General features: G+C 41.5%; 1 protein-coding gene across 6 annotated transcripts in view, besides 1 other annotated feature; it reads left to right on the top strand.

Annotated features, from left to right (window-relative positions):
• The window catches only part of NR6A1 (nuclear receptor subfamily 6 group A member 1), a 254,037-nt gene that overhangs the window by 188,721 nt on the left and 49,549 nt on the right, over positions 1–15,767 (top strand). The gene's annotated exons all lie outside the window — the stretch shown is intronic.
• Positions 6,915–8,114: an enhancer, noted in NCBI's record as "P300/CBP strongly-dependent group 1 enhancer chr9:127336756-127337955 (GRCh37/hg19 assembly coordinates)". NCBI's record gives its function as "activates an origin of replication core promoter dependent on BRD2, BRD4, P300/CBP, MED14 and CDK7 cofactors, with strong dependence on P300/CBP, by STARR-seq in HCT116 cells {active_cell/tissue: HCT116}" and the evidence as "EXISTENCE:reporter gene assay evidence [ECO:0000049][PMID:35650434]".

The following is a 15,767-nucleotide window of genomic DNA, read 5'->3' as shown; positions in this document are numbered from 1 at the left end:
TTTTTTTTTTTAACTTTTAAGTTCAGGGGTACATGTGCAGGATGTGCTGGTTTGTTACATAGGTAAATGTGTGTCATGGAGGTTTGTTGTACAGATCATTTCATCACCCAGGTATTAAGCCTAGCATCCATTAGTTATTTTTCCTGATCCTCTCCCTCCTCCCACCCTCTGCCCTCTGGTAAGCCCCAGTGTGTGTTGTTCCCCTCTATGTGTCCGTGTGTTCTCATCATTTAGCTCCTCCTTATAAGTGGGAACATGCGGTATTTGGTTTTCTGTTCGCATGTTAGTTTGCTAAGGATAATGGCCCCCAGCTTCATCTGTGTCCTTGCAGATCTTGTTCTTTTTTATGGCTGACTAGTATTCCATGGTGTATATGTATCACATTTTCTTTATCCAGTCTATCACTGATGGACATTTAGTTTGTTTCTGTATCTTTGCTATTGTGAATAGTACTGCAATGAATGTACATGTACATATGTCTTTATAATAGAATGATTTATATTCCTTTGGTTATATACCCAGTAATGGGATTGCTGGGTCGAATGGTATTTCTGGTTCTTGGTCTTTGAGAAATCACCACAACATCTTCTACAATGGTTGAACTAATATTCACTCTCACCAAAAGTATAAAAGCATTCCTATTTCTCCACGGCCTCGCCAGCATCTGTTGTTTCTTCACTCTTTAATAATTGCCATTCTGACTGATGTGAGATGGTATCTCACTGTGGTTTTGATTTGCATTGCTCTAATGATCATTGATGTTGAGCTTTTTTTCATGTTTGTCGGCTCATAAATGTCTTCTTTTGAGAAGCGTCTGTTCATATCCTCGGCCCACTTTTTCAATGTGGTTGGTTTTTTTCTTGTAAATTTGATTAAATTCCTTGTAGATTCTGGATATCAGACCTTTGTCAGATGGATAGATTGCAAAAATTTTCTCCCATTCTGTAGGTTGTCTGTTTACTCTGATGATAGTTTCTTTTTGTTTGTTCGTTTGTTTTTTGAGACGGAGTCTTGCTCTGTCTCCAGGCTGGAGTGCAATGGCGTGATCTCGGCTCACTGCAACCTCCCCCTCCTGGGTTCAAGTGATTCTCCTGTGTCAGCCTCCCGAGTAGCTGGGACTACAGGCATGCACCACCATGCCCAGCTAATTTTTCTATTTTTAGTAGAGACGGGGTTTCACCATGTTGGCCAGATGGTCTCGATCTCTTGACCTCGTGATCCGCCTGCCTCGGCCTACCAAAGTGCTGGGATTACAAGCGTGAGCCACTGTGCCCGGCCTCTGATGATAGTTTCTTTTGCTGTGCAGAAGCTCTTTAGTTTAATTAAATCCCATTTGTCAATTTTTGCTTTTGTTACAATTGTTTTTGGCATCTTCATCATGAAATCTTTGCCTCTTCCCATGTACTGATGGTATTGCCTAGGTTTTCTTCTAGGGTTTTTATAGTTTTGGGTTTTACATTTAAGTCTTTAATCCATCTTGAGTTGATTTTTGTATATGGTATAAGGAAGGGATCCAATTTCAATTTTCTGCATATGGCTAGCCAGTTCTTCCAGCACCATTTCTTGTTTTTGTCAGGTTTGTCAAAGATCAGATGGCTGTAGGCATGCAGTCTTATTTCTGGGTTCTCTATCCTGTTCAATTGGTCTGTGTGTCTGTTCTCATACCAGTACCATACTATTTTGGTTACTGTATCCCTGTAGTATAGTCTGAAGTCAGGTAGCATGATGCATCCAGCTTTATTCTTTATTATTATTATTATTATTATTTTTTGAGTTGGAGTCTCACTCTGTTGCCCAGGCTAGAGTACAGTGGCGCGATCTTGGCTCACAACAACCTCTGCCTCCTGGGTTCAAGCGATTCTCCTGCCTTAGCCCCCTGAGTAACTGGGATTACAGGCGTGAGCCACCATGGCTGGCTACTTCTTATATTTTTAGTAGAGATGGGAATTCACCATGTTGACCAAGCTGGTCTTAAACCCCTGACCTCAAGTGATCCACCCACCTAGGCCTCCCAGAGTGCTGGGATTACAGGTGTGAACCACCACGCCTGGCCCAGCTTTGTTCTTTTTTGCTTAGGATTGCCTTGGCTATTGTGCTTTTGGTTCCATATGAATTTTAAAATAGTATTTTCTAGCCAGAACCATTTCTTTACCTCAAAAAAAAAACCTTCTTTCATGCTGTCATTTTGTGGTCATACCCTCAGCTGACTGCTAACCCACAGCAGCTACAGATCTGTTCCCTGTTCCCTATTACTGTAATTTTATCTTCTGGAGACTGTCATATGAATGAAATAATAGAGTATGTAATCTTTTGAAACTGGCATATTGTTATATGTATTAATAGTTTATTATTCTTTTAATTGCTGGGTAGTATTCTGTTATATGTTTGTTGATCCATTCACCCATTGAAGGATATTTGGTTATTTACAGTTTGGGATGATTATAAATAGAAGTGCTATAAATATTCATGTACTAGTTTGTGTTTGAACCTAATTTTTCATTTTTCTGTGTTAAATAACTAGGAGTAGAATTGCTAGGTCATATGGTAAATCTTTGTTTGTTTGTTTGTTTGTTTATTTATGAGACACAGTTTAGTTCTTGTTGTCCAGGCTGGAGTGCAATGGTGCAATCTCAGCTCACCACCACCTCTGCCTCCCTGGTTCAAGTGATTCTCCTGCCTCAGCCTCCCAAGTAGCTTGGATTACAGGCACGCGCCACCATGCCCAGCTAATTATGTATTTTCAGTAGAGGCGGCATTTCACCATGTTGGTCAGGCTGGTCTCCAACTCCTGACCTCAAGTGATCCACCCGCCTCAGCCTCCCAAAGTGGTAGGATTACAGGTATGAGCTACCGTGCCCGGCTATGTTTAATTTTATAAGAACCTATCAGACTGTTTTCCATAGTGATTATATTATTTTGTATTCTCACTTGCTACATGTATGAGAGTTCTAGTTGCTCCACATTTTCACCATCACTTGATATTGTCATTTTTTTTTTAATTTTAGCCATTCTAACATGTAGTTTTATTATTTTTTATTTTGTGAAATGGGGTCTCACCAGGGCTGGAGTGCAGTGGCATTACCATGACTCACTGTAGCTTCAACCTCCCAGGCTCAAGTGACCCTCCCAGTAGCTACTCAGCCTCCTGAGTAGCTGGGACTACAGGCACATGCCACCACACTTGGCTAAGTTTTAAATTTTTTGTAGGGACAGGATCTTGCTATGTAGCCAGGGCTAGTCTCAAACTCTTGAGCTCAGGCAATCCTCCACCTAAGCCTCCCATGTAGCTGGGACCACAGGTGCATGCCACCACACTTGGCTAAGTTTTAAATTTTTTGTAGGGACAGGATCTTGCTATGTAGCCAGGGCTAGTCTCAAACTCTTGAGCTCAGGCAATCCTCCACCTAAGCCTCCCAGGTAGCTGGGACCACAGGTGCATGCCACCATGCCTGGCTAACTTTTTGAATTATCAGTAGAGATGGAGTCTCCCTATGTTGCCCAGGCTGGTCTTGAACTCCTGGGCTCAAGCAATCCACCTGTCTCAGACTCCCAAAGTGCCGGGATTACAGGTGTGAGCCACTGGCACCTGGCAGTTTCTCACAATTCTATAGCACCTTGTGGGATTTAGGAATGGTAAGCAATTGAATTGATATATTATGATCTAGTCCCCTATAATCCTCTCCCTAGATATAAATTGCCCTTTTAGCAATGAGAAAGGATTATTTCCAGTATGTGGCATAGTGAGTGGGGGAAGGGTAGGATTAAATTGGGCCAGAGATTTAGGCTAGAGCCTCATGATATAGGGCTATATGTAGGCCCTAGGTTTTATTTCATCTTCTAGAGGAAGTAGAGTGTTTTGAACAGAAGAATTTTTAAGGATCCATTTGACTACATTATAGAATAGATTGGAAAATGAATTGTAGGGAGTCTAAGAGAAGGAAGGAGACTACTTAGTAGACTAAATGGTCATGAAATGAGAGATGATGGTGGCATAAGCCAGGGCTTTTAGTAGTGGAGATTGAGAATAGATTTTAGATCTGTTTTGGAGGGAGAATTGATAGGGTTTCCTTATGGTTTGGATGATGAAATGTAAAAGAAAGTAAAGGAATTAGGAATGACTCCTAGATTTTAGTATTTAATAACTAATGGATTTTGGTTTTATTTACTAAGATACAACTTTTCCCAAGAAACATGTTGATATGGGAGGTAGGAATAGAATCTAGAGTTCCGTTTGGCTGTTAAGTTTGAGATACCTATTAGAAAGCTAAATGGAGATGTTAAATGGGCAGTGTAGATACAGGCCTCTGGAGCTCAAGGGGGAGTTTTGGTTTAAGGATCCACTTTTAGGCATTACTACTATATGGCAGTCTAAAGTCACCTAAAGAGAGAATATTGGTAGAAAAGAGGTCCATGGACTAACCCCAGGAGACATTCCAATGTTTGGAAGTCCCAAAGAGTACTCAGTAAAAGAGACTGAAAAACTGTTGATCTGAGAAAGAGGAGGAAAAGCAGAAGACTATTGTCTTGGAAATCAAGGTACAAAAGTGCTTCAAAAAGGGGAGAATTCAGATGTTTGTCCAGTTTCTTCCATTCATTTAGCAAATGTTCTTAGTGCTTTCACTTTGTAAGACTCCATGAATAGATCCAGCAGTCATCAGGACAGAGAAGATATCTGTTCACGTAGAATTTACATATCTGTTTTAAGGATTTCAGTGTGAAGCTATATAGAAATTCTGAGAGCCCATCTATCTTCAGCTTTAATTTATCCTTAAATTTCAGGAAGCTGCCCTTAAACACTGATGATGATCACCAGTTTTCCCAATTTCTGCAATGAGCCATCAATTTACGAGAATAGAAAGTTTGGTAGTCAAATTCATGTGGTCCAGAATAGCAACCACTGAGTGTTACAGATACATAGGTCATTTAAAGGCGAAATGAAATGCAGAGGCAGCTGTAGTATAGAGGTTACTTATACAAACATGTACAAATTACTTTCCTTTTCTGGACTCAGTTTCTCCATCTGTAAAGTGAGGAGGACAAACTAGTTTATTTGTAAAGTCCCCTCTGGCTCTGAAATTTAATGGCTCCATAATCCAGAACTAAGTAATTAGAGAAGTCACAAAGGACTGAGATATATAACAAACACCAACCCTCAGAGTCAGTAATACTCTTATCAGTGAAAAACCTCAGTAGCCAAATCAACTACTAATTCAGTATCTGGTGATGGAATCTCAGGATTTTGACAGTTGGAAATCATGCCAGTGAAAGTTCTGGGATTTTCTTTGGAAGAGACTCAAAGAATTTTTTTGTGTGGGAAAAAGTGTGCATACACTTTCCTAAAGGATGTTATGGCTACTCTGGTTTAGCTGTTTGGTATAATTGCACTGAGTGTATTTTCACCTCTCTAATAGAGGCCTATAAATTAAAACTCAAATTTATGGAAGATATTTCCAGAAAGAACTACGGCCCCTGGCTGGAGAAATAAGCATAGTCATAATAAAATACAATTACATTTGGTGTTTTGGTTTTTTAATAGAGATGAGGTCTCGCTCTGTTCCCCAGGCTGGAATGTGGTGATGCAGTCATGGCTCACCACAGCCTCAACTTCCCAGGCTCAAGTGATCCTCCCACCTCAGCCTCTCGAGTACCTGGGACTACAGGCATACACCACCACGGCTAGCTAATTTTTAATTTTTTATAGAGATGGCGTCTCCCTATGTTGCCCAAGCTGGTCTCAAACTCCTGAGCTCGGATGATCTTCCTGTCTTGGCCTCCCTAATCTCAACTAGGATTCACAGGCATGAGCCATTGAGCCCAGACTAAAGTTATTGATTCACATCTCCATTTACCAGCACTCTACAAGTCTTTTACCTATTCTAATCTCTTAATTCTCACAAAAATCCAGTAAAGTAGATAGGTTTATAGATTAGGAAACCAAAGCTCGGAGACATTAAGTCACACAGCTAAAATAATGACTAACTGGGATACAAAGCTTGTGTTGCTTGGCTGGGCGCGGTGGTTCACGCCTATAATCCCAGCACTTTGGGAGGCCAAGGTGGGCAGATCATGAGGTCAGGAGATCGAGACCATCCTGGCTAACATGGTGAAACCCCGTCTCTACTAAAAATACAAAAAATTAGCTGGGCGTGGTGGCACGCGCCTGTAGTCCCAGCTACTCGGGAGACTGAGGCAGGAGAATCGCTTGAACCCGGGAGGTGGAAGTTGCAGTGAGCCGAGATTGTGCCACTGTGCTCCAGCCTGGTGACAGAGTGAAACTCCGTCTCAGAAACAAAAAACAACAAAACAAAACAAAGCTTGTGTTGCTTTTACTTTTGGCTTCATAGTTACAGTAAAAATAAAACAAGGGGAAAGAAAACTTTAAGGACAACTTACTGTAAAAGCTCAGTAAGTAAATGTTGGTTCTCTAATCCAGGCAGTCATCCTGAACTGCAGGTAGATGTAATGGGGAGCAGTGAGGCTACTGAGGAGAACCAGATAGGTGACACTGCTGTGATAAGATGCTTTTCACTACCTGACTGTACCTGCTAGGTGGGCAAACCCAGTACGCCCCAGGCATGCAAGAATTAGAAGCTCACTCAGATGAATCGCTTGGAGGCACCCTGCACTTTACAATTCCTGGGCGCTCCTTCATACATTCCTATTTGGTTCTCATAGGAGCTTTTTAGGTAAAGTAATGGTCCTCATTTTACTGATGGGTATCCTGAGACAAAGTGGTGACAATATGATATCAATAATAATAATAGCTCACATGTTTGAGCATTTACTATATTCCAAGTACATGTACTTTACATGTATTAACTCTGTTCACATTACATGTAATAACTCAGTCCTCACAGTTACGATGTGATAAAAGTACTATTGTTATCCCCAGTTTATAGCTGAAGAACTGAGGCATGGAGAGACTAAGCAATATAGACTAAGACATGTAGATTAAGCAATATGACACATTCAGTAAATGTTAAAGCTGAGATTTAATTTTTTATTTTTTATTTTTTTGAGACAGAGTCTCGATCTGTCACCCAGGCTGGAAGGCAGTGGTGTGATCTCGGCTCATTGAAACCTCTGCCTCCTGGGTTCAAACGATTCTCCTGTCTCAGCCTCCTGAGTAGCTGGGACTACAGGCGCGTGCCACCATGTCCAGCTAATTGTTTGTCTTTTAGTAGAGGCAGGGTTTCACCATGTTGCCCAGGCTGGTCTCGAACTCCTGAGCTCAGACAGTCTGCCCGCCTTAGCCTCCCAAAGTGCTAGGATTACAGGCATGAGCCACTGCGCCCGGCCAAAGCTCAGGTTTTAATCCAGGCAGTTTGACTTCACAGCCCACGCTCTTAATCACTATATACTGTACTAGGTTTTGATAGAGAAATTAGTGACCAGCCTGAGATCACAGGCCTAGCTTAATCCTCACCAATTTTGTATGAAGGTGGGGAGTACAGATGTGTAATACAGGCGGTAGGCTTCTTTTGATGTCCCAGAGCTAAGAGGGAAAGCCCATATTTCAATAGGCAGGAACATCACAGTGACTCAAGGCAATAAACAAGTCTGTGTTTCGTGCAAAGACCTAGCTTACCATTACAGGATGTGAATCAGCCAGCTTAGCAGTAGAAAATAAAAAGGACTGAGAGGTTTGAGTTACTATACACTCAGGACTGATCAATAATATTAACCCATTATCTTTTATGCAGTTGTAGAGTGTATACTTTATACCCGAAAGGTAATAAATTCTATTGCATTCATTTAAAACGTAGTATCCAAAAGGGAGTGGGAAGAATGATTTCCCTCTCTTTCCTGTACTCATCAAGCCACAGTAGATTCTGAGCATGATATTTTCATGTGGCATTTCCAAGCAAGAATATGTCCAGAGGAAAGGCAGATGGCCACCCACTGTGATGGGGAAATGATATATAAATCAGTTGTGGGACTAGGGGTATTAAACTCCAAAGGTTGTCAAACTCTTGGTGGAAAACGGGAGGGAGCAGGCTTGGGCAGGTTGCTCAGTGTTCACAGATTATATTAAGACCAGGATGTCTTCATTGCAGGGAATTATATTTTAGCATCAAATAAGGAAGTAAGCTCTTTATCACTGGAGATGTTCAAGCTCATGTAGGAAAGTTACTGTAAAAATGCAGTTATGAAATTAGATAAAGGAGTTAAATGACTCTGCTAAGGCTCCTTCAGTAATATTATAGTTAAGACTAAATTCTTACTCCTCATCTAATATTCTTTCTACTACCTCCTGCCTCTGATCAGAGTGGTATCTAGCAAGTGTGACATCTGGGAAGTATCTTGAAACTCTGAAACCAGTGTCATAATTTCTAATATGACAAACATATAGGTGCCATTCATTCATTCATACATATACCCATTCAACAGTATTTCTGAGCACCTACTTTGCTAAGTCTTAGGATATAAGAGTACGCAGGACATAGTCCCTGTCTTTGAAATTTATATTCCTGGTGGAGAGAAAAGGTTAATGTCTGCTTTTTTCATTCAGCAATAAAGAAACATTCCAGTGTCAGTACAAATATTCCAGTGTCAGTACATATTTACATATTGATGTTTTTAGCACAAAAGTAGTACATACTTGTGCTAAAGAGAAAATAGAGTAAAAATGTCCTCTTGTCTGTCCTCTGTGCCCTTCATTCTCCCTCTCTACCCTAATAATCACTGATAATAGTTTGGTAAATTTGCTTCCAAAGTTTTATCCATGTATATACCAAAGCATGCATGTGTATGTTCATATGTATATATGTTACGGCTTTAAAAAACAGTGGTTTTTGAGATGTGTCTTATCCTTTTTAAGTGATTGCTTATTCCATTGTATATGTATGTTAGTTTACTTAATCATTCTCCTCTCCTATAGATTAGTATTTAGGTTGCCCAACTTTTCACTATTACAATGTAGCGGCTGTATTTAAAAAGAACTCGGACATAAAAATGTGGAGGAAGATAATGAAGATAGGTGTCAGAAAGACATGCCCTATGAAATACTTTTAAAGGGAACACGAATGTTGGCTTCCTCAGTAAATAGTTACTGCATGAAAGAGAAAGCTTAGGGGACCATGTTGTTGTCTTCTGTGAAAGATTGTCCCATGGGGCCTCAGAGAGCGGAGTTAGGTCTAGTAGGCAGAAAGTTACAGGGTGAAAGATTTCAAGTTAGAATAAGGAAGAACTTAATAATAGTCCAAGCTGTTATGTAGTTGTGAGGTAGTGAATGCCTTACTTATGGAAGTATGCTAGTGTTCATTCCTTAGGTTGGAGTAGATGATCTCTTGATACCCCTTTAAGCACTGAAGCACTGAAATTTTACCCATGTAGGAGAAATTACAGCGTTCACAGCTCTCTTCAGACAAAAGAGCTGAGGGCTTCGTACTTTGCCCATTTACCATTTTCAGATGAATTACCCAGGGGGGATTCAGAGATGATTTTTCCTCCAAAGACTAGATCCTGTGAGCCTTCTTTTTTCCCACCCCATTGTCGCTGTGAAGATATTAGAAGTTGGCAGCTATTTTTAGTTATAAAAGTTTCAGCTTAATACAACTTTGAACCATGAACTGTTCAGAACAAGTAAATTGCAAAGACCATGAAGTCTCGTGTTGCACAGTTAATCTTCCTAATGCCAAAACCGTACTCAGTATCCTTCAGGCCTCACTTTAATGCTTTTTGATGCTCATTTTTTGGTTGGAAAAACAATTATTTCATAGTTTCCAATACCCAGGATTTCTGGTGACCTTTTCCTCAGACCTTGGAAAAGACCATCATCTCTGTCATGTCCACAGTGCTCTTCCTGTAGCTTCTTAGAGCTCCAGTTTGTCTATAGCTTGCCCTTACGAATTTCTAGAAAATTCACCTTGCCTGTTTTGCCTGTGGAAATGCTTCATTATAGAAGTACTGCTGACACCCAATTAATTTGCTGGAATTCCTTCCACTGACGTGTGCGAACATACCACAGATCTCCTCCACTAAGCTAAGCCCACTGTGGAGTCGAAAAGGGCAAGAAACCAGGTTTGATTCTCACTTTCTTCATGTGTTCTCAATTCGTATGACCTTGGGTAATCATTTCCCTGTGATTCAGTTTCCTCACTTGCAAAATGGAGGTTCTCTCATCAAACATATTGGAAAGAATAGTCTCTAGCAGTTGTTCCTACCTTTTTCTTGACATTTTGAAATCTACCTCCTTCCCTCCATGTTCTTGAAGTTGTCTTTAGATGATTAGTGACAAGATTAGTATGATTGCCATACCAGGCCATTATTGGAGCCTTGAGGCAAAAGGAAAATTCTAGTGATAGTCATCTGTTTAAAACTTTTTCTTGCATTAATTTTGTATTTTGATTTTTAAAGTTTGTATTAAAATATTTATATCGATTGAGTGTTTTGGCACCTGCCTAAATTTTGCACAGAGGCAGTAGTCCCAGCTCTGCCTTTTGCCTCGTCCCTCAGCCTGTTCTCAGTTCATAGCCTCAGTTTCTCCATACTGTTGACTGCTCTCTGTTTAGTACAGCTCTTTGTTTCCTTGACTTCCCTGGCATTGTACTGTCCATATTTTCCTTTGCTCCTAGGGTACCTTTTTTCTATCTCTTCTTGTTCTTCCTGATCTCTAAATATAGGCAGGCTTTCATTAAGGTCTGTCATAGTCAATTTTTTTTTTTTATGGTAAGTAAGAGAAACTCATCAAACTTAACTAGCTCAAGCCCTGAATGGAAGTTATTGGAAAGAAACTGGGTTAGAGCATGGAACACAGAGAAACATGGAAGAGTTGGGATTCAGGAGGGATGGCAGGAGTCATCAGGAGCCACAGGAACTACTCTCAGCCCCTCTGAAGCCATGAAGCATAGTACCTCTGCTTTACTTCATCCCCTAACCCTCATGATCACCACTACCACCTAGACAAATATCCTTTGCTTTTCAGGAACAAAGCCATCTCACTAGTCACCTCACAGCTCACTCTCATCCGAAGTTAGCAAGCCCTGTGAAATCTTGGCAATAGAGAGAATTGCATTAAACCAGTGCCTTTTTCCAGTCCCGTCAGCAGTGGCCATTATCTGTCCCTGGTCCAGTCAACTTGTCTAGCAGTGTAAACATAGTGCCCCACAGGCAGGGCAGTGGCTGCTCTCAAAGAAAAGATTGGTGTGGGCTGAGCAGACAGCCAGAAAGATATCTACTGCAGATTCCAGTCTCTCTTCATATCCTGTCCTCTGCAATCGCATCCATGCCCACAGCCTCCCTACAGAAGGACTCCTCAGGTCAATCTAACTCCAGAATTGCATGTTTGTGTTCATTGTGGCTCTCCTCATCTCCCACTACCTCAACTAACCCACTCCTAAGACACAGTTAAATACCCACAGCCAGCAAGCCCTTTTGTCTGTACTCTTCCCTCTGGCTGAAATTCTTTTTGACATACTTCTACTCTAAGGCTCAGTTCAGGTGATACCTCTTCTAGATAATCTTTCCTTCTGCCTCCCCATCTATCTCCAGAATGACTCATTCACTCTTCAGTGTCCACTACATCGTCTCTTGCTAGTTTAGTATTGACTGCTCTGTATTTAAATTATGGGATTGATGTCCATCTCCTCCACTGCCATGAGATACATAAAGGGCATAGAGGGGCTCTCAAATATTTATTCAGTGAGTAAATGTTGCAATGATTTGAGACAAGAAGTAAGAATTTTAAATAATCAATGTCTGCTTTATACTTCCAACTTCAAAAATACTTATTTGTTTAGATACAGTGCATGGATCCAAGCTATCTATGAATGAAATGCCTGTATATTTTTTCCACTGAGAACGATTTATATTTTTGCCTTAGATTCAAGCAACTGTTTCCCTGCCCCCCCACCCCCCACCAAGTAAACAAGGAATCCTTAAAAGTTTCCAGTGACATAAGACAAATAATAGATTTCTCCAACTAGAAAACCTAAGTTTGCTATGAAAATGAAAACCTTGTATTACAAATAACAGCTTAGTTTCTAATTCAGAGATCCCCACATAGAGGAGATAAGAAGGGAATTAAGGACTGTCTTCTGAATTTTTGTTTTCTTGCCCTCACCTACAGTTGAGAAGTCAGATGATGGAGTAGCCTTTTTCCTGGATTCATTTCAGTTCATTGTAGTTTGTTTCTAGGCCTACACAGTTAATGGCATCAGTAACATTTTCTTTTGTCTTTTTCTCATTTTTTCTTCTAGTGTAAACCAAAAAGTATCAAAGACAGGTCTCAATCAAGTTAGAAGTTTATTTTGCCAAGGTTTAAGGACACGCCTAGTAGACAGGTCTGTGCCTTTCTCCAAAGAGGGTTTTAGAATTGAAACGGGAAAAGCAGGCTGGAGGGGAAAGGGGAAAGGTATGGTCACATTACTGAATCCACATGTTGCAAGAGAAAAGGAGCAGCTAGGGGAATAGTCAATTATGTATTCATCTCAGTAAATCAGCACTTTACTTAAGATAAGGTGAACATAGAGTTGCTGCCCATGGAGATAGGTAACATTTTATCTGTAGCTATCTGCTTAGGAACAAAAGGAAAGGCAGCTTCTTGCATGACTCAACTTTCAGCTTAATTTTTTTTTCCTTTGGCATAGTAAATTGGGCTCCCAGACTTTTATTTTCCTTTCACACTAGTGATCAGTAAGAATAACTCCCAAATAGTCCATCAGTCTTGTAAATTGCTCACTTGTTTTCATTCAGCTGATGTCAATTTTTAGAAATGTCCTCTGAGGAACTCCATGTGTGACCTTGGAAATGGAATTTTATAGTAGTATGTGCGGTGGAATGGACATGGTATGTAAATAGAGGAACAGTGCGATGATTTTTTTATTATTTGTGTTTAAATTCTGTGTTTGCAAATGAAATTTTGAGGGTACCTGTTCCCAATTTCAATTCTGCTGTACAGCCTGAGGCCTTCATTTCAGATAGTGGCAACCTCATGAAACTGATTGGAGTCAGTCCTTAGAATGTACAACTGATCAGAGAGTTGGAACTAGTAATCCAGTTGAAACAGATCCCTTTTGTTTTAAATACCCTTTAGCCAGGCAAGTTCCAGATTGCCTTAGTTGTCAATAAAATTTTGGTCAAGCGAGTGGCTGTATTCTCCATTTCCTAAATCTGGCCTTCATCACAGTCTGAAAAGCAGGTTTTGATAAAAATCGGTTTCCAAATGTAATTTGCGTAACCTGAGCCCTTGGAATGGGTAAAATGCCCTTCCTGGGGTGGAGGAGGTATTTTTGTAACAGCAAGGCTGAGTGAAGGTATGAGAGTATGAAGCCTTTTTGTAACAGGTTTTGTCCTGTGTTTAACCAAATTAAGGTAGAACCGATTGCTAGAAGGGGAGGGTGTGTTGTGCTCACTTACAAGATAGATTGCACGTAGTTCTCTGTTTCACAGATTTTGTTGTGACTCCTGTCATTTCTTTGTTTCCTTAAAGGGGGGGATGGGTGATGCAGCAGCAGCACTGAGGCTCATTTTTTTTTGAGATGGAGTCTTGCTCTGTCACCCAGGCTGGAGTGAGGTGGCGTGATCTTGGCTCACTGCAAGCTCCGCCTCCCGGGTTCATGCCATTCTCCTGCCTCAGCCTCCTGAGTAGCTGGGACTACAGGCGCCCGCCACCATGCCTGGCTAATTTTTTGTATTTTCAGTAGAGACGGTGTTTCACCGTGTTAGCCAGGATGGTCTCGATCTCCTGACCTCGTGACCCGCCCGCCTCGGCCTCCCAAAGTGCTGGGATTACAGGCGTGAGCCACTGTGCCCGGCCTGAGGCTCAGTCTTGATACCTGCCATACCAACCATCCTTCTCTTCCCCCACCTTCACAGGAGGTAGTTTATGTAATGGGAAGTCTATCTTTTGAAGAGTAATAAGGTTAAAACTCAGTTCCATCACTGATTTGCTGTGTCCTTGGGTGAATCACTTTGCTTTTCTAACCCTGGGCAAGTCACTTAATTTTTTTCTTAATAAAAATAAAATACAGAAAAAGATACACAAATGTTTAACTTGTCTTACTTTTCATGCAAGTTTTTATTTGGAAAGCATGGGTTGATTACATGATTACATTTCATTCTCCTCTTAAAAGACTGTTTCTATGTTTCTTTTGTTTTTTTTTTTTGAGACAGAGTCTTGCTGTGTCACCCAGGCTGGAGTGCAGTGGCACAATCTCGGTTCACTGCAACCTCCGCCTCCTGGGTTCAAGCAATTCTGCCTCAGCCTCCCAACTACCTGGGATTACAGGTGCCTGTCACACACCCGGCTCATTTTTTGTATTTTTAGTAGAGACGGGGTTTCACCATATTGGCCAGGCTGGTCTCGAACTCCTGACCTCAGGTGATCTGCCCGCCTCAGCCTCCCAAAGTGCTGGGATTACAGGCATGAGCCACCACGCCCAGCCTCTGTTTCTTTTTTTTTTTTTTTTTTTTTTTTTTGAGATGAAGTATTGCTCTGCCAGGCTAGAGTGCAGTGGCGCCATCTCAGCTCACTGCAACCTCCACCTTCCAAGTTCAAGGGATTCTCCTGCCTCAGCCTCCAGAGTAGCTGGGACTACAGGCACACACCACCATGCCTGGCTAATTTTTGTATTTTTAGTAGAGATGGGGTTTCACCATGTTAGCCAGGATGGTCTCAATCTCTTGACCTCGTGATCCACCCGCCCTGGCCTCCCAAAGTTCTGGGATTACAGGCATGAGCCACCGTGCCCAGCCTGTTTCTCTTTTTTAAATGCGTATGACTCTGTACTAGTTAAAAAAAAAAAAAAAAAAAAAAAGCAAATTTTTAAAAAGCATCTGCTTGAATCTTTGCTGCCTCCTACAAAATGTATTTTCTCTATCACTCCCAATGGATCATGATGTATAGCTAATTATTTTATTTCTTTACCACTCACTTTTAAGTCAGTATGGTTTTTGTCCTAACTAGTTCACCAAAGTGGTTCTCAATAGTGACCTTTGAGCCTTTTTTATTCTGCACACTTTTTTGTTTGTTTGTTTTTCCTTTTTGTGGAGAACAGGGTCTCATTGTCTTGCCCAGGCTGGTCTCCGACTCCCGGGCTCAAGCTATCCTCCTGCTCCTGCCTCCCCTAAGTACTGGGATTGCAGATGTGAGCTACCGCACCTGGCCCTCATATGTTTTGATGTTGCATTTGACAATGCAGTCTTCGTTGTGGAATCCTTTTGTCCCTTATCTTTCTGATAATCATGGATTTATATTCTACCCTTTTCTTCTTTGACCATGTCATCTCACTTTACTTCCCTAAGGTCTCAGCTTCCCCTCTCTGTTTTATCCTGCTGCTGCTTCTCCACATTCTCTGACCCCCTAACCCCCACCCCTTGGAGTTCTGATCTGTTCCCATAGCTTCAACTCTTCTGTGTGTTGAGGACTCCCAGATTCTTCATTTTAGCCCTGACCATTGTCCCCTAAGTAGTTGCCTTTAGAATATTCCCACTTGACTCGCCCGTTGTCCTCTCTTTATTTTTATTTATTTTTTTTTTTTTGAGACGGAGTCTCGCTCTGTCGCCCAGGCTGGAGTGCAGTGGCGGGATCTCGGCTCACTGCAAGCTCCGCCTCCCGGGTTCACGCCATTCTCCTGCCTCAGCCTCCCAAGTAGCTGGGACTACAGGCGCCCGCCACTACGCCCGGCTAATTTTTTGTATTTTTAGTAGAGACGGGGTTTCACCGTTTTAGCCGGGATGGTCTCTATCTCCTGACCTCGTGATCCGCCCGCCTTGGCCTCCCAAAGTGCTGGGATTACAGGCGTGAGCCACCGCGCCCGGCCTGT

The sequence above is a fragment of the Homo sapiens genome, chromosome 9, assembly GCF_000001405.40.
Source record: "Homo sapiens chromosome 9, GRCh38.p14 Primary Assembly".
NCBI lineage: Eukaryota > Metazoa > Chordata > Mammalia > Primates > Hominidae > Homo > Homo sapiens.
This window is presented reverse-complemented; position numbering and strand designations above follow the sequence as displayed.